Genomic DNA, 26,119 nt, shown 5'->3' with positions numbered 1-26,119 from the left:
ATCCCAGCACTTTGGGAGGAAGTTGCAGGCAGATGGCTTGAACTCAGGAGTTCGAGATCAGCCTGGGCAACATGGTTAAACCCTGTCTTTACCAAAAATATAAAAAAATCAGCCAGGTATGGTGGCACGTGCTTGTAGTCTCAGCTACCAGGGAGGCTGAGGTGTGAGAATCGCTTGAGCCTAGGAGGTGGAGGTTGCAGGGAACTGAGATTGCGCCACTGCACTCCAGCCTGGGTGACAGATCGAGACTTCATCTCAAAAAAACAAAAAAAAGAACCCATTTCATCTAGTACCTGTGGCAGGACCTTTTACCTCCTGTGCCTATTGTTCCCTTTTGGGGCAGATGGCGCTGAAACCAGGATTTACCTGCCCATCTTGCTGCTCAGGAACTTTCTAAAAGAGCGTAATTCTGAAGCAGGGAGTGCCCTGGACTGAGAGATGCTCAGCGCTGCAAACCTAGGCAAGAGACTTGCTTCTCAGAACCTTGGTTTCCTCATCTGTGAAAGGGATTGTTGTTTTCTTGGGGTTTTGTGAGATGCCATGAGCTGGCTGTGAAAGCCCTCCATATACTGTGAAGTGTTCCTCAGATGCAAAGTCATTAAAGGAGCCTGTGTCGTCAGACACTGCCAGGGCCAGTATGCTGCTTATTCCTCCATAGTACCCAAGTAAGAGTGGTCCAAGGTCCCACAGCTGGTACCCGGGCCAAAGCTGAAGTCTCCCACTCTTAATGACAATGCCCTTCCTTGTTGCCTCTCACTGGCATCTTCTTATCTCTCCTGAACTTTTTACCCATTACACACCTGGATGAGAAAGCAGTGGAGATGAGGAGACAGAAGAGGCTGTTCAGTCTGTAAGGGACTCAGAAGAGCGGGACGGGTTGGACTGTGGAGCAGGGAGGTCCTTGTGGGGTGCAGGGCCTCTTCCTGGAGAGGAAGGCTCAGTTTTCTCTTTCTGGAGGAAGGGAACCATCCCGTGGTCAGGTGTCTAGCCAGGGGCCCATCATGCCTGGGTTTTGTTCTCCACAGTGACCAGCCCCTCCTTTTTCTTCTGGAGGCATTGTGCGCTGCAGAAGGGCTGAGCCAGAAGTTAGGAAACTTGGGTTCCAGTCCTAGCTCCACTGTCACCTGGTTGGGTGATTTCCCTTCTCTGGACTCCTGCCTCCTCACTTAGAAACAGGGGCCGATCGTGCATGCCATGGCAACATCTTTACGTTGCAAGGATTGAATGATATATGCAGCATGGAAAATATGACGAGTCATGTAAATGGAAGACATTATTATTAGGGCAGAGAGAGGAACTGGCAGGGGAGTTATTTGAGCTGAGGGGCACCGGCTGAACCAGACAGCTTGGCTTCCTCACTCTCCCCTGGGGAACACGGATTGGTGTTTTTGCCTTAGTGCAGTGAAGCATATAACAGCCCCACACTTGCCAGGGACCCCTCGGTGATTGCACATGTAAATGATGTCTAAGTTATACAAGAACACACTGGCAGGGATGACTAAGGAAGCACCTAGAGGCTGCACCCTTGGTGTATGTTTGGAGATGTACAAGCCTAAGTTTGAGGTGGTTACTGCTGGCTTTTACAGGGAGCTGTGCCCTACCCCTACTCACAGAGAACCTGCTGATTCAGCTTTGAGGTCTCCACGGTGCCTAGATCCGGACCGGACATAGACTAGGTGCCAAATTGCAGGAAGTGTTGGAGAATTAGAAGAGCACAGACTATGGAGATGGACTCGACTGGATTGAAATCCTAGCTCAGACACATAGTTGTCTAGCCTTGGGAAAATCTCCATTTCTTTGAGCCTCAGCTTTCTCATCTTTAAAAGGGATAAAATGGCCTGTTACAGCACTTTTGAGCAGATTAATGATCAAGTATATGTCTGGTGCACAGTAGGCATTCCCCAAATGATGGCTGTGATTGTTATTAAGCATTTTTGGAATTAATGAATCATAGAATTCAAGATTGTTCAAGGAATGGCCCTAAGAGATCATCTTTTCTTTTTGAGTCAGTTTCCCTCTGTCACCCAGGCTGCAGTGCAGCAGTGTGATCTAGGCTCACTGCAACCTCTGCCTCCTGGGCTGAAGCAATTCTTGTCCCTCAGCCTCCTGAGTAGCTGGGATGACAGGCATGTGCCACCACGCCTGGCTAATTTTTGTATTTTTAGTAGAGGTGGGGTTTCACCATGTTTGCCGGGCTGGTCTTGAACTCCTGGCCTCAAATGATCCACCTGCCTTGGCCTCCCAAAGTGCTGAGATTACAGGTGTGAGCCACCACACCCAGCTGAGATCTTATTTACTTTTCTTCCCTCCCTCCCTCCCTCCCTCTCTCTCTCCCTTCCTTCCTTCCTTCCCCCCTCCCTTCCTTCCTTCCTTCCCTGCCTGCCTTCTCTCTCTCCTTCTCACTCTCTTTCCTTCTCTCTCCACCACACCCAATCTCTCTCTCTCTCTTGAGTCACCACACCAGCCCCAAGATCATCTTTTCTAATCCTTTAATTTTATAGATCAGAAAGTTGAGGCCAAAGCAGGTGGAGCGACTTGTCCAAAGTCACAGTGTGAGCTAATAGCAGAGCCAGGTGTAGAAGCTGGGCCTCTTTGCTCATTCTGTCTTACAAGGGCACCCTGCAGTAGCCTGGAAGAAAGGCTTTGTTCCTGCATCCTGGGGGCTTGTGGCACAGTGTACCTGAGGGAGAACTGGAGGAGCCCAGCACTAGCACTGTGGCCCCATCCCCCACTTAAGTTAGGGACTCTTCTTTCCTTGCCCCAGAAAACAGCTGCTGGAAGGGTTCCTAAGGAGGAAGCCTCTTAAAAGTAATAGAGTTGCTTTGGGAATGGGGCAAACTAGAGGGAGTCTGCAGAGAAAGACATCATCTGGAAACTTTTCAAAAAGAGTTAACATGGAATAGCAACAGGTAGGGGAGAGCTCCAACATGTTGTGTTGGTGCCCCCTTCTGGCTGATAGAGAGCAGAGCTGGTGAAAAATGGTTGTTGGCTTTCCAACAGTGTACCTTCCTAAGGGCACTGACCCCAAGGGGGTATCATGAACATTCAGTGAGCCTTGATGTAGTAACAGATTCACCTTTCCTTTGAACAACCAGTATTCAAGGGTAGTGAGATTGGTATTTTCCTGGGCTCAAGTTTGGCTTCGCTCAAGTTAGGCTTCTCTAGACCTTATGTCTTCCCTCCTTTACCTCCTTCTGACTTTTGACCGTTAAATTGTAGATGGTGAGTGGAAGCACTTAGCAAACCTTTCATTTCCCAGCTGAAGAATTTTTAGGGAAAGCATGCCTAGCACTCTCTTTTCAAGGTATTTGCAGAAAGCCAACTAACTAGTTTAGCAGCAAGCTAATGTAGTTCAGTTCATTAGGTATTGATTGGTTACATACTGTGCCAGGCCCTGTGCAGGGGTGCTGGTGACACAAAGATGAAGAAGTCTTTGCCCTGGAGGAAAGACTGTATAATGTTGTGATTAAGAGCTTGTGCTTTGGAGTCAGACCGACCTAGCTTTGAGTTCTGGCTTCACCACTCATTAGCCATGTTCACCTGATCAAATGACAGTCTCTCTGAGCCTTAGTTTCTTTATCTGTCTAATGAGGATAATCCTAACAACCTCATAGGGTTATTAAGAGTAAGTCATGTAATATAGTAAGTGCTCAGTACATGATAGCTAAATTTTTTAAAGTATGCACAATTTAGTGAGACAAACGTAAACAGAGATGGTTGTAGTTTAGTGTGATGGCAAATATGGTAGGAAGAACTTAGGGGCTGTGAGAGTCCAAAAGTACTGTTAGCATGGAGTCTAAAAAAACACTTACCCGGACCACTGTCTTTTTAACTCCCTCCTGGGTCTTTTTTTCCCCACAGGCATACTTTTTTGATGCACCAGAGATGGACCATCTCCCAACAACTACAGCTACTCCAAACCAAACAGTTGCTGCAGCCAAGTCCAGCTAATGAGGAAAGTAAGAGATTCTATTTTTATTTTGCTGTGTGGTGCCATAAAACATGGGCAGGTGTATCAATTCTGTTAGTGTTAGCTTTAAGCACAGAGGGCCAGACCCTTTCATCCTTCTGCACAGTTCAGCGTGGGTTTGTGCATGTGCATGTCTGTGTTTCTGTGTTCCTCTTATTGAAGTCCTCTGTTTTGAAATCCACATGATACTGGCTTTATAGAGTTGGATAACATGAGCTCTTAGGTTCTTCTGTAAGAGGAGCTCCTGCCTTTGGTCCCAGTAGAGGGGACTCTCTTCTCCCTGAACCCTTTCCTAGAACACAATATGGGTTTGTTCCATTTTATAACAATCCTGGTGGTTTTTTCTTTTTTCTTTTTCTTACTTTCTTTTTTTCTTTTTGAGACAGAGTTTCGCTCTTGTTGCCCAAGCTGGAGTGCAATGGCATGATCTCAGCTCAGTGCAGCCTCCATCTCCTGGGTTCAAGCGATTCTCCTGCCTCAGCCTCCTGAGTAGCTGGGATTACAGGTGGGTGCCACTACTGCCTGGCTAATTTTTGTATTTTTATTAGAGATGGGGTTTCACCATGCTGGCCAGGCTGGTCTTGAACTCCTGACCTCAGGTGATCCACCTGCCTCGGCCACCCAAAGTGCTGGGATTACAGGCGTGAGCCACCGTGCCCGGCCATTTATCTGGTCATATAATTTATCTGGTGATCCCATTACACTTTGTATTAAGTATCACTCTCATGGTGCTTGAAACACTAATGGCTGACTAATCATGTGTCCATCTGCCTATTCATTAATTTGTTCGGCTATTTATTCATTCATTTGTCCACTGTATACTACAATGTCTCCCCAGTTAGGCTCAGCTCGACAAGAACAAGGCATGGTGTTACTCTATATCTTCATTGCCTACCACATAACCTAGTATACATAGGGCACTCAGTAAATATTTGTGGCATGAATAAATGAAGCCACACTCTGCACATGATCTTGCTGCAGGACAAGAACCTTTACTTTGCTGTGTAATCACAGACTGTCCTTTCTGTCCAAGCTGCTCTCTCCCAGAGGCATGAGATGTGTGCAAAAACCAGGGGCTTAGAATTAAATAAAATTACAATTAAATCCCAGGTCAGCTATGGTGGCTCACACCTGTAATCCCAGCACTCTGGGAGGCCAAGGCAGGCAGATCACTTGAGCTCAAGAGTTTGAGACCAACCTGGGCAATGCGGCAAAACCCCGTTTCTACAAACAATACAAAAAATTAGCTTGGCATGGTGGCATGCTCCTGTAGTCCCAACTAGTTGGGAGGCTGGGGTTGGAGGATCACTTGAGCCTGGGAGATGGAGGTTAAAGTGAGCTGTGATTGTGCCACTGCATTCTAGCCTGGATGATAGAGAGAGAACCTGTCTCTAATAATAATAATGATAAATCCCAGCCCTACCATGTACTAGCAATGTGCCTTGGGTAAGGGGCTTACTCTCTTTGAGCTTCAGCTAACTTGTCTTTACAATAAGAATGACACAAACTATATAAGATTGTAGTGAAGGTTGGAGATTATTTTTATAAAAGCTCCTGGCACATAGTTAAGGTGCTCAGCAATAAAATCAAAGCTACTGCCACTCTCAGAGTGCGTCAGTAGTTTATGTTTGGTGGCTCCCACTGACTTTACCTTGATCATTTTTTCCTTTTTGTAAAACAAATGGGGATTTTCCCTCTTAGTTGAGGAATCCAGGTTGTAGGCCCTGTAGGTTGACTAGATATGACTGGTCAAATGCTTTCCAGTTCCTTAATGGTAAGACAGTCACCCTGGCCAGTAGAATGACTGGGAACTATTGTAAAATGTCATAGTCTACCACTTTCGCCTCTTCCTCTCTTCTCATGGGTATGCGATGTTAGAATCAAAGAAGATCAGAGCCCTTGGAGACATTAAATAGCATGGGCTTCCCTCCTCATTTTACAATAAGGAAGCTGAGACCGAGAGAGGACAGTGCCTTACCCAAGGCCACCCCAGAGTTCTGGGGCAAACTAACATGTGTCTATCACATTCCATTTGACAAAACACTTTTTTTTTTTTTTTTTTTTGAGGTGGAGTCTCACTCTGTCGCCCAGGCTGGAGTGCAGTGGCGCAATCTTGGCCCACTGCAACCTCTGCCTCCCGGGTTCAAGAGATTCTCCTGCCTCAGCCTCCCAAGTAGCTGAGATTACAGGTGCCCGTCACCACACCTGGCTAATGTTTTGTATTTTTAATAGAGATAGGGTTTCACTATGTTGGCCAGGCTGGTCTCGAACTCCTGACCTTGTGAGCCACCCACCTTGGCCTCCCACAGTGCTGGGATTATAGGTGTGAGCCATCGCGCCCGGCCTGACAAAACATTTCCTAGTTTATTCTCTCATTGGCCACTCTTACTGGCCCTCTTGACCACATTGTATGTATAGATGAGAAGGCTGGGCTGAGTAAATCTGGGCTGACTAAGATCACCTACCTCTTAGAGGCAGAGCTGGGACTCATATCTAAGTCTTGGGAAGCCAATTTTTGAGGTTTTTCACTTTCCCATTTTTTAGACAAATGTTCTTTTTACCACTAAAACGTGCAGGTTCTCACTGCTAGCCTTTGGCTGTTTGATGGAGCCTTCCTCTGCGGGTCTAGAGGTGTTTAGTAGCAGTCTCCACACTCCTTTGATTGCATGTCTTATCAGCTGAGAGTTTGCGTGCTGTATTAATTATCTATTGCTGCCCAGTGGTATTACCACAATACACATTCTCACAGTTTCTGTGGGGCAGGACTGTGGGGATAGCTTAGCTTGCTCCTCTACTTCAGATTCTCTCTCAAGGCTGCAGTCAAAACATTGGCCAGGGCTGGTGTCTCACCTGAAGTCTAGACTGGGAAAAGATCTGCCTCCCAACTCACAAGGTTGTTGGCAGGATTCAATTCCTGTGGCTTCGTAGAATGAGGGCCTTCTTGCTGACGGTCATTTGGAGACCACCCTCAGTTGCTTGCCACGTGGGCCTCTCTGTATGATCACTCACTTCATCAAAGCCATAAAGGGAGAGAGAGGCAATCGAGTCTGATAGTGAGATGGAAGTTGCTGTCCTATATAATGTAAACATAGGAGAGATGGTCATCACCTTTACCATCTTCTATTGACTAGAAGCAAGTCACAGGTCTTGCCTACCTTCTAGGGGAGGCAATTACACAAGGGCATGAATGCCTGGAGACAGGCAGGGATCACTGGAGGCCATTTTAGATTCTCAGTCACAAGCACAAACTTGTGATACGTATATATTTGAAGTATTTGCATATACTGTTGTCAATCCATATAGGAACTATTAAAGCTTTAAATGCCATAGCCAAGTTGTCAGTTTAGCATTATGGGGCCAAGAAGGGAGGGACTCAGTTGGAGTTGGCCTGGAGGGAAGCTTCAGAGAGGGGCTCTTGTTTGAACTGGGTCATAAAGGTTGAGCACAGTCAGTTAGCTGTTCTGGAAAAAGTAGTCTGCTTCCCATGGCTTTTGGGAAGATGAAGACCTAGGCTGTACAGGGGAACCATGATAAGACGATGTGGACTCACATCACTGAGAACGAGACAATTCGAGCCCAGCTGGAGAGGGACAGAGGTAGAGAACACAATGGCAACAGTTTCCTGGGTCTCTCTTTTGGCCCAAAGTACCTGACATCGCCATGTTGAGGGTCTCTCTCAACCTGCCCCTGAGCTAGGACTTAAGTTATTTCATTTCATTTTGGTTGTAAAGGCCTTCAGAGAGTCAGAGCAGCATCTGAGAAGAGCCTGCCCCTCAGGGCCCTTGAAGACTTAGCAGACTGGTGTACACAGATTTGACGCCTCTGCGCTTTGCTCAGATCTATGAACTTGGCTGTTAGAGCCTCCATTTGGGTGTCAAGTCTCCAAATGAGGTAGTGATGAACAGCTTCTTTGCAGCCTCCCTGGCAGAAGCATCAATTGCTTTGCTGATAGAGAGGCTGTCCAGAGCCCTGAATGCTGCTGATTTACGAGCTGGCTGTGCCTTCTACTGTCATCTCTGGACTCCCAGCTTTCACTGAAAAATAAAGGCTTCTAATCTCACCAGTAACCTACCTTCCCCATGTAAATCTGTGTATTGGAAAACTTAGCCTAGAGCGCATTCCCAGGAGAGCATTGGAAGGCTTAGCTTAGAACACATTCCAGGGAGAACCCCTTCTCTCCCTGGAACCTCAGGATCATAGGGGAGCTTCCAGTTACAGTCATGCATTGCTTAATGATGGGATGCATTCTGAGACATGCGTCATTAGGCAGTTTCATCATTGTGCCAATATCATAGAATATACTTAAACAAACCTAGATGGTATAGCTTACAACACACTTATGTGGGATAGCCTATTGCTCCTAGGCTACAAACCTGTGTGGCATGTTGCTATACTGAATACAGCAGGCAGATGTAACCCAATCGTAAATATTTGTGTACCTAAACATAGAAAAGGTACAGTAAAAATATGGTGTGATCTCATGGGACCACCATTGTATACGTGGTCTGTTGTCAACTGAAACATCATTATGCAGTGTGGGACTGTACTTGTAATCAGCATGCTACCCCTATGTAAGTTATTGAAATAATATAAAGAATATCTGGCTTCCATCCTTCCTTCTTCATTAACTTTTCACATGAGGGCAGTGCTATGTCTTCTCTGAGCCAAGACCCTGGTAGAGCCTGGAAACTGTACCTGGGAAGCCCTGCTTTGGCTTGAGGGCTTGAGACCGCATCCAGATTGGGGTGAGCTTTCCAGGGGCAGTGACAGGTGGGGCTGTCCGGAGGAGGGCCATCAGCAGATAATCATATCGCAGTGTGATCAGGGCTTTAATTAATGATGCAGAGAGGGCTTCTGGAGAGTCCTTTGTCATTAAATCCTCCTGATTGGATACACAGGGTTTGTATGCAGTTATCCTGTCACTCGCTCACATTGTCAAGAGTGTTCATTTCACAAGCCTTGTCTACTTGGCAATTTCCTGTTTATTTTTCAGGACTCACTTGAGATACCCTCTCCTTGCTGAAGTTTTTCTTGACTTCTCCAGGTAGTATTACTTATTTTCTTTTCTGTGCTCTTCTACAGCTCTCGTATGTTCTTCTATTATGGCAGTTTGCTTATTCACTGTAACTTCATAGACTGAGAGTTCCTTGAGGGCAGAGCTTTATTTACCAATATAGCTCCCTAGCACCCAGCAGACACTTGGAGAAAGCTTCATTTGAACAAGTTGTTAGGCCAATCATATAGCATCAAAACTTTCCTGGATTTATGTGGCAGGTTACTTGGGAAATCTTTACTTGTTCATTCATTGAAGTTCTACTCTGTGCTGGTGAACAACGGAGATCAGTCCTTACCCTCCCAGATTCTATACTCCAGTTTTACATCTCATACGCCACACAGACTAGAAGGCCCTTTTACATTAAAGAGAGAAACATGATTATGGGAACTTCTCATTGGAACATCCCAGATCAGACTGTGGTGACATTGGAAGGTTTGGCTGCAGGGCTGAGGCAAGGAAAGGGACAGAGAATGCCCATGCGATAGTGCAGCCACCCAAGATGGGGAGCCAAAAATGGTCAGGAGTCAGGTCATAGGCCAAGAGGTGGTAGAGGCAATCTTCAAGAGGTAAGGAAGTGCTGGCTGATGGTGACATTAGGGACCAACTTTGGCACAAAGGGCAACAGCATCTTACTTTTCTCCCTCTGGCCTAAGTGCCAAGAATTCCCAACCTCTTCGCTTCTGGCCACCCATTAAAAGTTGGCAGCAGGAGAAGGAATTTTTTTTTTTCTTTTTTTTCAGACAGAGTCTCACTCTGTTGCCCAAGCTGGAGGACAGTGGTGCAATCTCGGCTCATTGCAACCTCCACCTCCCGGGTTCAAGTGATTCTCATACCTCAGCCTCCCGAGTAGCTGGGATTACAGGAATGCATCATCATGCCTGGCTAATTTTTCTGTATTTTTGGTAGAGATGGGGTTTTGCCATGTTGGCCAGGCTGGCCTCTAACTCCTGGCCTCAAGTGATCTGCCCACCTCAGCCTCCCAAAGTGCTGGGATTACAGGCATGAGTCACCATGCCTACCTGAGAAGGGAATTTTCTAGTCTTCATATTCTTCCCTAGTCTTGACATTGATTTGGAACAGACAGCTAGAAAGAGGAGAGAAAAACAGAGTATATATTTATGAATATAAAATCTTGAGTGCTTGCTCTGTGGGCCCGTTTGTCCCTACCTTTATTTAGCGTTTCAGAACCCAAGTTGATGGTTACTAAAAGGCTGATCAGGGCTTTAGGTTCTTTCATGCCAGCAAATTACAGCATCTGGCTTTCTCCAGCCACTTTTCACAGATATTTTGTTGGCAATGTTTCTCTTTTCTTGAGCCAGTAGACTTGGGCAGTTAGCCCTTGCCTTAGCCTCACCTTCGTGGTATCATCAAACGCTGACATCTGAATGTGGTATTGTCCTGTTGATGTCTCCAGGAAGGCCTAGCTCATTCTCCCAAGTGGAAGGCTATGCATTAGGAACTTATTCTCCACCATATTCCTTAGTCTTCCCTGGATTTAACTCTATCTCCAGCCCCTCTTTCCAAGTTTCCCTGTCTTGCAAATCCCCAGGTAGGTATACCAACAGTTGCCTCAAATTCATTACATTCCAAGCTATACTCATCCCCCACTACAACCAGATCCTCCTCATGTTTTCCTGTCTCAGGGAATGGCACCATCATTTATACTGTCCCTGACTGCAGAGTAGGTTAGATTCTTTATTACACCCTCGCCTGGCAAGTTAAGATTATAATTAAATAAATAATATTTTCTGTATTTGTTTGCCCTGTTGCTTCTCTTGGTAGACTGGTTCCTTGACAGTTGGGACCATGTCTGTCTTGTTCATCACTGTCCCCAGTACCTGGCACATGGGTCCTCAATATTTGTTGGATTAATTAAGAAATCCATCCAGTCACCCAAGATAGAAACCTCAGCATCAAGGTAGATTGTAGATTCCCCCCACTCACCTTCCACATAGTATCAGTCAGCAAGACCTGTCTTTTCTATCTCTGAAGTATTTTTCATCTCTGTCCTGTTGTTACCATACCCAGTGTTCAGGACCGATCATTTCATATTTGAACTGCAGCAGTAACATGATGGCTTTCTCCACTTCTTTTCTTTTTCTCCTTCCAATTCATCCTATACACAGCCACAGGGGTCTTTGAAAATTTATAATTCTGACCACGCCTTTAACTATGTCACTTCCCTACTTAGAAACTTTTTTTTTTTGGCCCCCTATTGCCCAAATAACAAAATTGAAACCCCCTGCATTGCCACAATCTATCCCTGATTTATTTGTCCTGCCTCATATCCTGCCATTATCTCCTGTATAACCTTACATTTCAATTACCACGGTTTTCCAGGTCCCAGATCTTTAAGTCCCTCCATATCCACTCTTATCTTTTCTCCTCTAGTGCTTAACACAGTGCTGTCACGGAGAAGAGAAAGAGAGAAGGATGGGCAAAGGTAGCTTTAGGATCTGGCTTGGAAAGGGTCACTGGGTTTCCAAGCAAATAGAAGAAAACTTTTTAAAGCATCATCTTTCTTCCAACACTAAGCTCTACTTTTAGCATCAAAATTAGACTCAAGCCTCAAGATTTAGGGAATTGGTGGCAGCAGACTGCTCCGGTGTTGGGAGTTATATCTCTAAACATACATGAATATCCTTTTCTACAATGTAGCTCTTTCCTGTCGGGGTGGGGGGGTGCTTTATCTTGAAAGTTTCCCGTTTTGTTTTTCAGTTCTCTTTTGTTTTTTGGAGCATGGTTCTTTGGGAAGTGGCATCCACTGCAGGAAAGCAGAATGAGCAGAGCCAGCAGAACTGATGGAGTGGCACAAATTCCCAGTGTCTGGATGGTGCCACACTGGCGCCTAATCACCCGTTTAACAAGCAGAAATTAAATGTTGCTCAGCACATGTGTCTTTCAGCTCTTCCTTTTCACCCATGGATGATCATTGCGAGCATGCGCTGATTGGACTGAAATGCCAGGGAATAGGTTAGGCATGCTCAGTGCCGTCCCTTTGCCACCACAGTCAAATGACATGCTTCACTGTGGTACCTTAATACCTGAAATAGAACCATGGAAAATTCTGATGTCCTCTCTCTGAATTATGTACAGACTACCTGGGGGATCCTCTTCTCTCCAAATGTTAGCCATCCTGAAGTAGCCGAACAGTAGAAACTTTGGTGGGGATTAACCGGGAGCTTGAAAATTTGTCTTTGGTAACCTGATACTGGACAGCTGAACTGAATGGCTGCAAAATAAATACCTCACATGATGTCTGTGTCTGCATTTTGTGACTTTGACCTCAAGTTTTTCCTTGATGGTTTGTCTGTACTGGAGGCTGCTGGGAATCTGATTGAATGTGCTCGGTGTTATGATGTGTGGATTAAAATGGGACATCTGAATGTTTCTTCCTATAAGAATGGAATATCAGTTTTAAAGAACACATTCGGCCAGAAGTTGTGGCTCACACCTGTAATCCCAGCACTTTGGGAGGCTAAGATGGGTGGATTGCTTGAGCCCAAGAGTTGAGACCAGCCTGGGCAACGTGGTGAAACCCAGTCTCTACAAAAAAAAAATACAAAAAATTAGCTGGGTGTAGTTGCACATGCCTGTAGTCCCAGCTACTTGAGAGGCTAAGGTGGGAGGTTTGCCAAGGTGATGTTAAGTATCCTCGAGAGGCTGAGCCTGGAGGTTGAGGCTGCAGTGAGCCACTCCAGCCTACGTGACAAAGTGAGACCTTTTCTTAAAAAAAAAAAAAAAAAAGTTCATTTACATCCCATTTTGACAAATTTCACAAAATTCTCTTAGGGTACTTGGAGTACCTGGCACTTTGACTTCCTGGCTAGTGTGCATTAAAGAGAGAAACCAGTGACACCGCAAAGAGCTTTAACATACTGTTTGTTCAAAATGCATATGATCTGGGAGGCTGAGCTTCTGATGGTCAGGATTACTGATCACCTACTGTTTCTGTTGTCCTCTGTATTAGTCTGTTTTCATGCTGCTGATAAAGACATACCCAAGACTGGGAAGAAAAAGAGGTTTAATTGGACTTGCAGTTCCACATGGCTGTGGAGGTCTCAGAATCATGGCAGGAGGCAAAAGGCACTTCTTACATGGTGGTGGCAAGAGATAATGAGGAGGATGCAAAAGCGGAAATCGTTGATAAAACCATCAGATCTTATTCACTACCATGAGAAGAGTATGGGGGAAACCACCCCCATGATTCAAATTATCTCCCACCGGGTCCCTACTACAACATGTGGAAATTATGGGAGTACAATTCAAGATGAGATTTGGGTGGGGACACAGAGCCAAACCATATCATCCTCTTCCAGACAGAATTCCCTATATATTTCTGAGATAGCTACAAAGACACATTTAGACTTAAAAGGTTGACCACGCAGGTAAAGGAAGACACATAAATCAGGCTACAATGAGCTTAACATCACCTTGGCAAACCTCCCATCAGATGCTGAATATCCCTCCATTAATTAACCAACGAATATATTCTGAGCACCTACTATGTGCTGGGTACTATTGTATGTACTGAGGCTAGAACAGTGAACAAAACAGACAAGCTCCCTGTTCTCCTGGATCTTACAGTCCAGTGATCACTGCTCAGTGGCTGCCGGCATCCGGCTTTCTCCAGGCAGCGTTTCGTCCTTCAATGGCCTGTTCTGTCAGAAGTGCCTCTGCAGCCATCACTGCGTGGTCTTTGCTCTGCCCCTGGGCCTCACAGAACAAGTGTGAGCCTTATTCCCTTCAGATGTTTGAAGACAGCTGTTTGTGTCCCTTGAGTCTTCTAAGTATTTTTTTTTTTTTTTGTCTTGCTCTGTCTCCCAGGCTGGAGTGCAGTGGAGCCATCATAGTCCACTGTAGCCTCAAACCCCTGGCTCAAGGGATCCTCCCACCTCAGCTTCTCAAGTTGCTAGGACTACAAGCTACTAAGTACTTTTAAGTCGGTATCACCGGTAAATTTTTCCAAAAATATGTTTAGAGATTCTATAATAAAGTGGCCAGGATTTAATTTTTAAGTAAGGATTTTGGACACAGCCAGCATTGTCAGCACCATTATCTTTATAGAAGAAAGGACATTATAATATCAAATAATCTGGAAGGACATAATCTTAGTACTAAAAACTTGGTAAGTTTAGCTTTATGAAAAACTGACTGTTAATTTTTTCTCACCTAGCCAAGACCAGTGAAAGTTTCGTGAACTAACCAGCACCACCATTTGGGAGCCACTGCCCTTGGGACCTCCATGCAGCTCTTACGAATTACATTCAGCTGTAAAAGAACCCTGAGAAGCAGTTAGCTTAAATAAATTTGCCGTTTTGTCTTTCCTATGTAAATAGAAATTTAGAGATAGTCTGAGGTTAACATGGCTGCTCCATGATGCCATCTCTTTTTATTTTTCTTCTGCCCAGCAGTCCTTAGCATGAATTTGTCATCTACTCCCAAGATGCCCGTGTTACCTCCAGCAAAGGGTAGGTGGTGCGGAGTGTGCCTCCAGGCCAAAAACCCGTGCCTGATCTTTCAGGCCTGACAAAGGCCTTACCCAACAGGCCTCTTGGGAAAAGCTGCCTGCCCACACCAGACTGGGTGCCCAGTGAGTGCCATGTGTCTCTGAAGGGACTACAGTCAAGGATACTCTTACGCATATCTGCGTTTCATGCCCAGGCTCCTCCATTTGGAGGCCTCCTAGCCATAGCCTTTTTCAGGTGCCTCTGCAGAGACCAATTTATCTATGGGGTACCGGGGAACTTGAAAATATTTTTTTCACTTCCAAGGCTCAGTACTTTTCTACTCCTAACCCTTCCCCCTCTTCCTCTTCTCAGTCCCCAGGCCCTGTGAAATGGCAGGAGCCTTTTGTTTAGGGATCAATTGGCAGTGAGACCATCCCCACATTTGCACTGATCCACCTGACCCTTGCCTGGCACTGGTTCATGGTGGGAAATGGAACATGAGGGGAGCCAGCGCTTTCTCCTGGTTAGCCTGTTGCTTGTACCATCACAGTAAGTGATGAAAGGCTTGCTGTTACTTCATTTTCACTTAACTGTACTCCAAGTCCTGGCAGCTCAGCTTTTTCTAGCTCAACTCAGCTCTTGACAGGCAGCAGGAAGGGAAAGGGTAAAAGAGGGTTGGCCAGTGGAGTTAGCCTGCCTTGTAATGAGCTTTCTCCAGAGAAAAAGTTCATGTCTTATTGGTTAGAACTGTATCCCACAGTTACCCCTAGCTGCAAGGGAGGCTGGGAAATACTCTTTAGCTGGGCACACTGTCACCCTGAATGAACCAGAATACTGTCGGTAAGGAAGGAAGACAGAATGGGTTTTAGACAGATAACTAGTACATCTTGGAGCCCCTCCTTTTACAAAAGTTGGTGGTGGTTTGTCCATTATCAGTTTGATTTAATTGGTTGGTATCATACAAAGAATTGAGAGAAATGAATGTTGGGAAAATGGCAGTGGCACTAGCATACTTTTTGAAGCTCCCTGAATTCTTTCATAGAAACAGGGCACCTGGGATAGCAAAATCAAAAACAAATCGGCATCTACAACAAAAGGTGAAAAGGTATCCCCACAAACCCAAAAATTCAAGCAGAGGGAATCTTCTGGCAGCGCCAAGACTGACATGGTATCAGCATTTTTATGGAAAGAACCACAGGAAAGCAACAGGGTATCTGCGAAATTGGAAAATAAGAGCACCCCAAAACAGCCAATAGGTACTCCCTGGAAAGTGCAATGGGCTAATAGGAGAACAGCAGCTGGAACTGGAGTTTCGTAATACCCAGTTTGCAGCACATGCATGCAAGGGATCCACAGCAAGTTCTGAAGAAGCTGGAGTAACCAGGCACCAGAAAAGAAACTGCACGGAGCAAAACGCAAGCGGAGCAGGCCAGGGATATTTGGGGCAAAGAAAAGAGAAGTCCAGATGAGAGTCGGGGAGGGGAACAGAGCAATGTCAGAAAGATGAAGCTGTATTTTTGAACATGTCATGGAAACAGAAAAGGAAGCTGTAAAGCCTTGAATTTGGAAAAGCTATTCTGCCTCACCTCTTCCTCCTAAATGTGCAGGAAAACTAATTTCACATAAAAAAGAGTAACAGAAAGGATCGCAGTCAAATCTTGTAATGAAGTTATTATATGAAAAATGAGAACAAGGAGCAGAATAACATCCCTAATGGTAATGAAAGCATTCCAGACAGTCATGCTCACAAAACCAGATAAAAGCCATAACTTAATGTTTTAAAATGAGCTAAAATAAGAAATGGTACAGGATATGAAAGAAAATCACTAATCAGAATTATAAGGCAGAAATTAGGTAATAGTACTGAGGAAAGAATTGGAAAGAAAAGAAAACTCATCTCACAAATGAAGGCTGAATTATAATAGAAGGGATATTAGAGTGAATGAGCACAACAGATAATGCTTTAAGGGAATAAAAAGTGAAAAAGGAGGAAAACAGATGAAATTCCAGAATGAATAAAGAGAAATCAAAGAACTTAAGAAAAAGTGACCAGTATGGGTCGGGCGCAGTGGCTCATGCCTGTAATCCCAGCACTTTGGGTGGCTGAGGCAGGTGGATCACCTGAGGTCAGGAGTTCAAGACCACCCTGGCCAACGTGGCGAAAACCTGTCTCTACTAAAAATACAAAAATTAGCCAGGCATGGTGGTAGGCGCCTGTAATCCCAGCTACTCAGGAGGCTGAGGCAGGAGAAGAACTTGGGAGGCAGAGGTTGCAGTGAGCCGAGATCGCACCATTGCACTCCAGCCTGGGCTACAGGGCAGGACTCCATCTCAAAAAAAAAAAAAAAAAAAAAAAAGTGACCAATATGGAAGATAGGCAGAGAAGATCTAAAGATGTATTATAGATGTCCAAAGAAGAAACAAAAGCCATGGAGAAAAATACATTTTTAAAAAACTATAAAATTTTCTGGAAAAAAATACTACATATAAAATGGGCACACTCATACCTGGGGAAATCAACACAGAAGATCAACACTGAGACACAGTTGGTGACACTGTTTTATGTCCAAAGACAGTGGTAACATAGATACCCAAAGAAAGAAAATATGAACTAAGGATTTTACATCTAGCCAAACTGACCACAGACAAGACGTTATCAATGTGAAAGAACACAGGGAATATTCCCATGAGACCTTTCCGAGGTATCTTCTAGAGAACGTACTTCAGACAACCCAAATGACTGTTAAGACATTGACATAGCAGTTGGTGAGCACGAAATACCTGTTCACATGTAGAACTTAATAATGCTTATAAGGGAGAAAATAGAATTTATAACGGTTATGTGCCCTTAAAATGAATCTACAGTATAACTAAAAAAAGAGGAAGGAGAATGGGGAGAGCATGTTTAAAGCAGAATAAATCTGCTGGTTGCCTTATAGATATAGCAAAACAACTTTGCTTCAAATCACCTGCTGGAGGATAAGAAGGGGAGGAGGAAGAAGTTACTAAATAACGTCTATGTTGTTCATAAGAGGAAAACAATAGACAATCATTACCTGTTTCCCAAACAGAGGGGATAAAAGATGTTATAGATAGGAAATGAGGCCGGGTGCAGTGGCTCACACCTGTAATCCCAGCACTTTGGGAGGCCGAGGTAGGCAGATCACCTAAGGTCAGGAGTTCAAGACCAGCCTGGCCAATATGGTGAAACCCTGTCTCTACTAAAAATACAAAAATTAGCCAGGTGTGGTGGTGCGTGCCTGTAATCCCAGCTACTTGGCAGGCTGAGGCAGGAGAATTGCTTGAACCCAGGGGGTGGAGGTTGCAGCTGAGCCGAGATGGTGCCACTGCACTCCAGCCTGGGCGACAGAGTAAGACTCCGTCTCAGGAAAAAAAAAAAAAAAAAAAAAGGAAATGATTAGAACAAAAATACAAACCTTTGTAAATTTTTTTTTTTTTTTTTTTTTTTTTTTTTTTTTTTTTTGAGACAGAGTCTTGCTCTGTTGCCCAGGCTGGAGTGCAGTAGCGTGATCTTGGGTCAGTGCAAGCTCTGCCTCCTGGGTTCACGCCATTCTCCTGCCTCAGCCTCCTGAGTAGCTGAGACTACAGGTGCCCATCACCACGCCCGGCTAATTTTTTGTATTTTTTTTTAGTAGAGATGGGGTTTCACCGTGTTAGCCAGGGTGGTCTTGATCTTCTGACCTCGTGATCCACGTAAATTTTTTTTAAAAAGCAAGCAAGCAAATAAGATATACCACTCTGAAAAATTATTTATATAAAAGAGCTGAAATGTTAAAATTGATAGGAGTGTGTGAGTCCGTGCTTCTTTTTACCTCAGCTTGGCTTACTCTCTAAAATATTTTATTTATATATATATATATATATATATAATCAGTCTTGAAGGGCAAGTGTGATAATTAAATTTATATGATATGACTTAGAGTGTCTAGTATATAATAAGCATTCAACCAAAACATGGTCTCTAGCCTTCTCATTTAGGGAGGGGCAAAGCCAGGACTTAAGTCCAGGACTGTCTGGCTCCAAAGTTTGCTCTTTCTCTACTATGCTACTGATGGCAGGATGTATTCAATAAGGGGTAGAATTCCAGGATTTTTAGAAGAGGAGGAATTCAACAGGAAATACTTCATGGAAGACATGGAATTTGAAGATGCAGAGAGTCCAGATTAAGCAGAGGTATGAAGGCAGAAAAAAATAAACATGATGTCATGATGTGTTGGTGAGGGGATGAAGGGTCTGTTAGATCGGCTTTAGTATCTTAAACCTGTACTTTGAGGCTTCATCCATTTTCCAAGAACAGCCTGTAAGCTAAAAACGGATAAAGCCATTTCTACCAGATGCATGCACTGGTTGGGAGTATGGTTGAAGAGAGTGAGTGTCTAAGGAGGAGGCCTTGTGTACTCGACAGAAGGGTCCTGACAGCAGGGACTGCACTCCTGTGTCTACCCCCACAGAGCCTAGCAAAGTGCCTGGCCGGTACTCATTGCTTGGTAAATGCTGGTGGGGTGAATTAATAAGGTGATGCATAAAACAAAGTTTTTCAAGGACTTTTCAAGTCCTCTTCAGGTAACTGCATTTATTGATTTACTACTGGTATCTTTGGGGATAGGTTAGGCTCTTCTAAAATAATCAAGAACTGGCCGGGTGCGGTGGCTCGCGCCTGTAATCCCAGCACTTCGGGAGGCCAAGGTGGGCGGATCACAAGGTCAGGAGATCGAGACCATCCTGGCTAACACACTGAAACCCCGTCTCTACTAAAAATAGAAAAAAAATTAGCTGGATGTGGTGGTGGGCACCTGTAGTCCCAGCTACTTAGGAGGCTGAGGCAGGAGAAAAGTGTGAACCCGGGAGGCGGAGCTTGCAGTGAGCCGAGATCGCGCCACTGCACTCCAGCCTGGGCGACAGAGCGAGACTCCATCTCAAAATAAATAAATAAATAAATAAATAAATAAATAAAAATAAATTTAAAAAATCAAGAATGGTAAGTTATAGTTTAAAGCAGCTTAAATCAAAGTTTTATTTCTTGGTCATGTTGTAAGTTAATCACAGGCTGGCAGGAGACTCTGTTCACTGTGGTCACTCAGGCATCTGGGGTGATGGAGTAACAAACATCTAAAATATTGTTGGTCAGTGTGCCAGAGGAAAGAGAGCTCTGGAGAGTCTCATAATGGCAATTAAATTCCACCGTTAAATGATATATGTTATTTCTCACAATTTATTGGCTAGAACTGTTACGTGGCCATACCTAACTTCAAAGGGGGCCACGAAGTGAAATCCTATCATGTGCCTGGAGTATTAATGACTGTCACATTATTTGAAGGGTGGGGGCTCAATTTAGATAGGTCCACAGAAATAAAAGTCCATAGAAATAAAAGTCCATAGAAATAAGGAACAGTGCACACCACACCTGTAATCCCAGCTACTTGGAAGGCTGAAGCAGGAGAATTGCTTGAACCCGGGAGGCAGAGGTTGCAGTGAGCCAAGATCGCATGCCATTATTGCCCTCCAGCCTGGGCGACAGAGTGAGACTCTGTCTCAAAAACAACAACAACAACAACAACAACAACAAAACAGTGCAGAACAGTGCACACTACTATCCCCCTTTTTACAGTTGAGAAAACTGAAGCACTAAGAGGTTGAGTTACTTGCTCAAGCTAACCACCCTGCCATGAAGCACGGAGCCAGGACTCATCCCCATTTGTCTGACTCTAAAGCCTTTACCTATTGCCTCGCATATGTATTTACGTGAAAAGCCTTTGATCCTGCCTCTTCCTCATATCCTTGGAAATGAGGCACTACGGAGCCTTACCTTCACCCACAGATTTTATTTTACTGTCTCTGTGTCACAGGCAGAGGGTTAAGTCAGTCTTTTTAACAAACTAGGCAGAAAAAAACTTTTAAAAAACCTTTAAAAAAAACTAGGAGAAAAAACATTAGAAAGCGTAGATTACACACTGTGCAATATGATGTGAGTTTCCCCTCCTGGATCTCCTTCTCTCTGCATCAGCCTTTACTTTGAGATTTCACCCCGAAGAAGCAGGCAGCAGAGGACAGCCCACCAAACTGCCAACCAGGAGTGCAGCCAGGCTCCAGAGAGGGGGCATCAAAGGAAGAAGGAGGAGCCTGACTTTTCTTTCCACGTTGCTATGCCTTTTGAATTCTTCCCAGAGGCTTGGAGTTTGGCAATAAAATAATAATAATAATAGATAGTTCAGAGTTATTCTGGGATTTGTGTTCTCCACACCCCACAGGTAAATATCATCTATATGTCTTAAATTTATTTTTTGTTTGACTCACCACAAAAATACTGTTGTACAAGAGACTTTGTATGTCCAAGGAGCTGTCTTTCAAAGTGAATGTCTTTTATTTTGTCTTTGCAAATAGCTAATCACATTTTATTTTATTTTATTTTATTTTAAGATAGAGTTTCACTCTTGTTGTCCAGGCTGGAGTGCAATCTTGGCTCACTGAAACCTCTGCCTCCCGGGTTCAAGCAATTCTTCTGCCTCAGCCTCCCGAGTAGCCAGGATTACAGGCATGCGCCACCATGCCTGGCTAATTTTGTATTTTTAGTAGAGATGGGGTTTCTCCATATTGGTCAGGATGGTCTTGAACTCTCGACCTCAGGTTATCCGCCCACCTCAGCCTCCCAAAGTGCTGGGATTACAGGCATGAGCCACTGTGCCTGGCCAGCTCATCACATTTTATCATGAGTTAGCAGCCTTTCTCTTGGAAGGACTGAATTTGAAACAGGTTACAGATTGGGAGAAAGAAGGGTTGTTTGCTACCACCACCCTTTATATTTTTTAGGCTATAAAGTATTAAAGGCTATGCAACAAGTGAAAATTTTGTAGTAAAAACTTCGGGAAAATGACAACTCATTTAAAAATATTAGGGCAATTTAAAAACAGAAAGGAATTCTCACATCCTTGTGTGTTGTTGGGCGAGACAGTGATGGTTTAAAATGAGATTCCAGAGTCTTCAGGGACTCCCATTATTCATATGTTAGATCTTCTTTGCCTATTTTCTCTATTTGTCACTTAAAATTGTTTTTGTTTCTTTATTCCTTTTTTGATTATAAAAGTTCTTCGTTTGTTATGACATTACTGTTGTGTTTCTTTGCTCTTCTAATTCAACTTCCATTTTATAATAATTGTTTAAATTTTGATTTCTTTCCTGAGTTCTATCACATAATTTCTGAGTTTTTCTAATACTAACTGGTATTGTTCTTCATGTCTTGTATCATTTTTTTTTTTTTAATTTTTAAAAACCAGAACTTTTTTTTTTTTTGAGACAGAGTCTCACTCTGTCACCCAGGCTGGAGTGCAGTGGCGCAATCTTGGCTCACTGCAACCTCTGCCTCCCAGATTCAAGTAATTCTGCTACCTTAGCCTCCCAAGTAACTGGGATTACAGGCTCCCACCACCATGCCCAGCTAATTTTTGTATTTTTAGTAGAGATGGGGTTTCACCATGTTGGCGAGGTTGTTCTTGAACTCCTGACCTCAAATGATCCACCTGCCTCAGCCTCCCAAAGTGCTAGGATTACAGGCATGAGCCACCACGCCCGGCCAACCAGAACATTTATTGGGTGACTAACCATCAAAATTCTTTTTTTTCCTTTTATTTATTTATTTATTTTTTGAGACAGAGTTTTACTCTTGTTGCCCAGGCTGGAGTGAAATTCTTAAGATGAACTGGATGCTGCAACAGCTGCCGTCTTAGGTCTAGGTGTTGTTCCTTCACGGAATCCCTGCCTGAATCTGTGGTATACACTTTTTAGGTGCCTCATTTGACTAGTCCTGGTGGTATTTCATCTTTCAGCATTGGTACTCCAGTGTTACTTCCTCTTGTGCTTGGCAAGGTGGCACATGTGCCACAGGTTGACTACTGAAGGGCATAGGCCTTAGGGGCACAGCAGCAGCACAACATGTGTGTCTTACTGCAATGCTTTCCAAACGATGGTGTTCCCTTTGTGGCTGAGACCAAAGAGGTCTTGTATCATTTAAAAAATTTATTCTATTTCAAATAATTAGTTTATAGCTTTCTTTTTCTTTTCTTTTCTTTTTTTTGAGATGCAGTCTCACTCTGTCTCCAGGCTAGAGTGCAGTGGCACGATCTCAGCTCACTGCAACCTCCACCTCCCTCGTTCAAGCTATTCTCCTGCCTCAGCTTCCTGAGTAGCTGGGACTACAGGCATGTGCCACCATGCCCAGCTAATTTTTGTATTTTTAGTAGAGACGGGGTTTCACCATGTTGGCCAGGATGTTCTCAATCTCCTGACCTTGTGATCCGCCCACCTTGGCCTCCCAAAGTAATTCAAACGGATTACAGGTGTGAGCCACCACACTCGGCCAGGTTATGGCTTTCAAAGGCTCAGAGAGCAACTTTGGATAGTTGCAGGCACTTCTGGGTGGTGCTTTCAGCAGCTACAGGGTGCTCAAATCAACAGAGTGGTTCTAACAGCAGCAGGGGCACCACCCTCAGCAGCTCAGCATTCAGTGTTGTCTCATGGCTCTAAATGGAAGCAGTAGCTTCCTGGTATTTGGGCAGTAACTCCATTCTGCTCTTAGCTACTACAGCCCCGTTCTTTCTTTCCTATGCTTTTTTAGCCTCTCCAACAACTTTGTTATCAATTCCCTGCATTAAATCCCCCTTTGATATAGGTATCAAAAGTTTTTGTCCTGAAGAAACACTGTCCAATATAGTTAATTTCTTCCACTCATTCATTATTCATTAAATAAAAATTCATTTATTACTTACTAATGTAATGGGTACTTTGGAAGCGATGATAAACAAGACAAAGTCCCTGCTCTTGTGAAGTCTGTATATTAGTGAGAAGTCAGACAATAAGAAGTAAACAAACAAGATGATTTAAGACTGTGATAGGTGCTATAAAAACAGAAGCAGAGGCTGGATGCGATGGCTGATGCCTGTAATCCCAGCACTTTGGGAGGCTGAGGCAGGCAGATCACCTGAGGTCAGGAGTTTGAGACCAGCCTGGCCAACATGGCAAAACCCCGTCTCTACTAAAAAATACAAAAATTAGCCAGCATGGTAGTATGCGCCTGTAATCCCAGCTACTCAAGAGGCTGAGGCAGGAGAATCACTTGAACCCGAGAGGCGGAGGTTGCAGTGAGCTGAGATCATGCCACTGCACTCCAGCCTGGGCAAAGGAGTGAGACTCTGTCTCAAAAAAAAAAAAAAATAGATGTGGCTTAAACAATAAATAATTGTCTCTCTTGTGTAAATGAAATTAGGAGGTAAAGGCAGGTAGCCTAGAACTGATATGGTTGCCATAAATAATCAAGTCTCCTTTAGGCTCAGTACTTCATTTTCCCTACAGTGTGACCCCCTTTCTGTGGTCCAGTATGGTGCTAGAGCTGCAGCCAACACATCCCAAATCCAGGCAGCTGAATGGAGGATGGGATTAAGAAGAGGCAAAGACCATCATGCAGTAGCTCCCTTTTAAGGGGGTTTCTAGGAAGCTACCATGCAATACTTTGATTATATTTTATTGGCCTGAACTCAGTCAGCTGGCCATACCTAGCTGCAAAAGAGGCTGGGAAATATAACTATATGCCCAGTTAAAAAACTGGGAGTTCAATTATTATGAAAGAAGGGGAGAATAGATATTGAGGCAGACAACGAGTAGTCTCTACCACAAGAACCTTAGAACCTGAGGTGTCTTTATGAACACGCATTTGGACTGATTTTTTTTTTTTTTGGACAGGGTCTCACTCTATGGCCCAGTCTGGAGTGTGATGGCGCCATCACTGCTCACTTCAGCCTGAACCTCCCAGGTTCAAGCAATTCTCCTGCCTCAGTCTATGGAGTAGCTTGGACTACAGGTGTGCACCACTACACCCGGCTAATTTAAAAAAAAGTTTGTTGTTGTTGTTGTTGTTGTTTTTGTGGAGATGAGGTCTCACTATGTTGCCCAGGCTGGTCTCAAACTCCTGGCTTGTGATCCTCCTGCCTTGGCCTCCCAAAGTGCTGGGATTACAGGTGTGAGCCACTGTGCCTGGCCTGGACTAATTCTTTACAAGTTTTCTCCACCACCGGATAGATCTCTTCACGGCAGAGACTTGATCTATCAGTTGTATTCCCAGTTTGTCCTACAGTGCTTTAGACATGATTGATAGTAACATGATTTTGGAAGTGAATAGGATATAATCTTAAAGCATTCAGGAAGCCATTGTTAGCAAACGTTGCAGAGCAGTAGGTGTGATCTCAATTCCTCTCACCAGCCTATGCATTTCCTTAGTCAGTAAATCACTGAATCTATTTCTGTCTTGAGTATTGCATGTTGACTGTGGCATGTGATTGAGCATAAAAAGGCGTTAGCGATATGCATCCAGAGATCTCACTGAGGTCTAAAGCACTGAGAAGACTTCATTAGGTGAAACTTGGGTTGGTGAAACACCTTTTTTCTTACTGGCAGTATATTAATGATAACATTTGTATAGCATATTATTTACATCCTCACAACATCACCAGGATATTTTTATTTTCATCCTTATCTTACTGTTGAAGAAATGGAGGCTCAGAGAAGATAAAAATATTCAATTTAGCAAGTGGCAGATCTGGAAGTAGAAACCAGATTTTATGAAACCAAAGGCATCTCTAGAGAATTTTTTTTTTATTTCAGTAAAATTACTGCGTACCTATTGTGGAGAAGACCACCACATCCTTTGGTTTCACTTTTAGGTGACTTATAAAGTAATAGGGAGAAATGAGGGCAGATCATTTTGCTAGCTCTAACTGAAGAATTCCAGTCAATCAATACTGTGGCTGTTATCGGCTTTATAAAAGACTACTATTCCCAGCATGCCTCAAGGCACCTCCAGGAAGACCTTGACTCCCAGCATTCTGTACTTTGGAACTCCGAGTCCCAGAATGCAACATTCCTCCTACTTCCTCTCAGGGGGCCGTCGAGACTACAGTTCCCAGCATGCAGCGCCGCCACCTGCTTCTGGCGCCCCGCTGGACCCTGCTTCGAAGGGACCGTTTGGTCGCCAGAGGGCGGTTCCTGGAGTTACAGCCGCGTTTGCGGGACGTGTCTGCGCGGCAGTCCTGGCCTGTTGAGCTTGTCCAGACGAAGCCTCGCAGGGATGGGTTGGAGCCTGGGCCGGGCTTCGCTCAGGCAGCGTTTGAGGCAGACCCAGCAGGGTCCTCCTGGGGCCTTCCTGCCTTTGAACTGCGGTGGCGGGCGGGCGCACGGTCTCCTGTACGCCCTAGACTAGGGGCCGCCATCTCCATGGCCACGGCCGTGAGCCGGCCCTGCGCCGGCAGGTCGCGGGACATACTGTGGCGCGTGAGTGCGGCGTGCACTGTGGCACGCACTGCCAGGGTCGGGCCGGGCGGGCAAGCTCTGATCGCGCGTGCGCGCTGGGCGGGGGAGGGCCGGTCCCGGGGCAGCGTGGAGAGAACGCGTGGGGAAGGCACCACTTGGGGGACTGATTGCAGGGTTGTGGGAAGTCCTGAGTGGAAGTTGGTTACGGGGTAGGAGAGGGGTCCTGAGTGGAAGGAAGCTGGTCAGAGTGGGACGGATGGACTGAATGGAAATTGGAATAGGGAGTGAGGCGGAGTTTTACGCAAGGGTACCGTATCCAGTAGGTGCAAA

General features: G+C 44.7%; 2 protein-coding genes and 1 pseudogene across 8 annotated transcripts in view, besides 2 other annotated features; 2 read left to right on the top strand and 1 right to left on the bottom strand.

The window, feature by feature from the left end:
* The window catches only part of YIPF1 (Yip1 domain family member 1), a 38,065-nt gene extending 25,783 nt beyond the window's left edge, over positions 1-12,282 (top strand). For 2 of the 4 annotated variants that reach the window (NR_036640.2, NR_036639.2), the window contains 3 exons: positions 3,862-3,959; positions 8,964-9,014; positions 11,745-12,282. Coding sequence is in view for 1 of the 4 variants with exons in the window: in NM_018982.5 (NP_061855.1) it covers positions 3,862-3,951 (90 nt within the window). In the remaining 3 variants the exon portion in view is untranslated. The remainder of the gene's footprint in view (positions 1-3,861; positions 3,960-8,963; positions 9,015-11,744) is intronic. The other 2 variants (NR_135075.2, NM_018982.5) reach the window with 1 other exon arrangement.
* On the bottom strand, positions 22,173-22,467 carry RPL37P7 (ribosomal protein L37 pseudogene 7; annotated as a pseudogene).
* Positions 25,246-25,725: an enhancer, noted in NCBI's record as "active region_1050". NCBI's record gives its function as "activates an Ori minimal core promoter by ATAC-STARR-seq in GM12878 lymphoblastoid cells {active_cell/tissue: GM12878}" and the evidence as "EXISTENCE:reporter gene assay evidence [ECO:0000049][PMID:35858748]".
* NDC1 (NDC1 transmembrane nucleoporin) overlaps positions 25,719-26,119 on the top strand; it is a 72,819-nt gene continuing 72,418 nt past the window's right edge. For 3 of the 4 annotated variants that reach the window (NR_033142.2, NM_001168551.2, NM_018087.5), the window contains exon 1: positions 25,719-25,810. Coding sequence is in view for 3 of the 4 variants with exons in the window: in NM_001168551.2 (NP_001162023.1) it covers positions 25,754-25,810 (57 nt within the window). In the remaining variant the exon portion in view is untranslated. Of the gene's footprint in view, positions 25,811-25,879; positions 26,109-26,119 lie in introns of those variants that run through there. The other variant, XM_011541766.3, reaches the window with a different exon arrangement.
* Positions 25,836-25,965: a silencer, noted in NCBI's record as "silent region_912". NCBI's record gives its function as "represses an Ori minimal core promoter by ATAC-STARR-seq in GM12878 lymphoblastoid cells {active_cell/tissue: GM12878}" and the evidence as "EXISTENCE:reporter gene assay evidence [ECO:0000049][PMID:35858748]".

Source organism: Homo sapiens, chromosome 1, assembly GCF_000001405.40.
Source record: "Homo sapiens chromosome 1, GRCh38.p14 Primary Assembly".
Classification (NCBI taxonomy): Eukaryota; Metazoa; Chordata; class Mammalia; order Primates; family Hominidae; genus Homo; species Homo sapiens.
The sequence above is the reverse complement of the archived record's forward strand: the minus strand, read 5'-3'. Positions and strand labels throughout refer to the sequence as shown.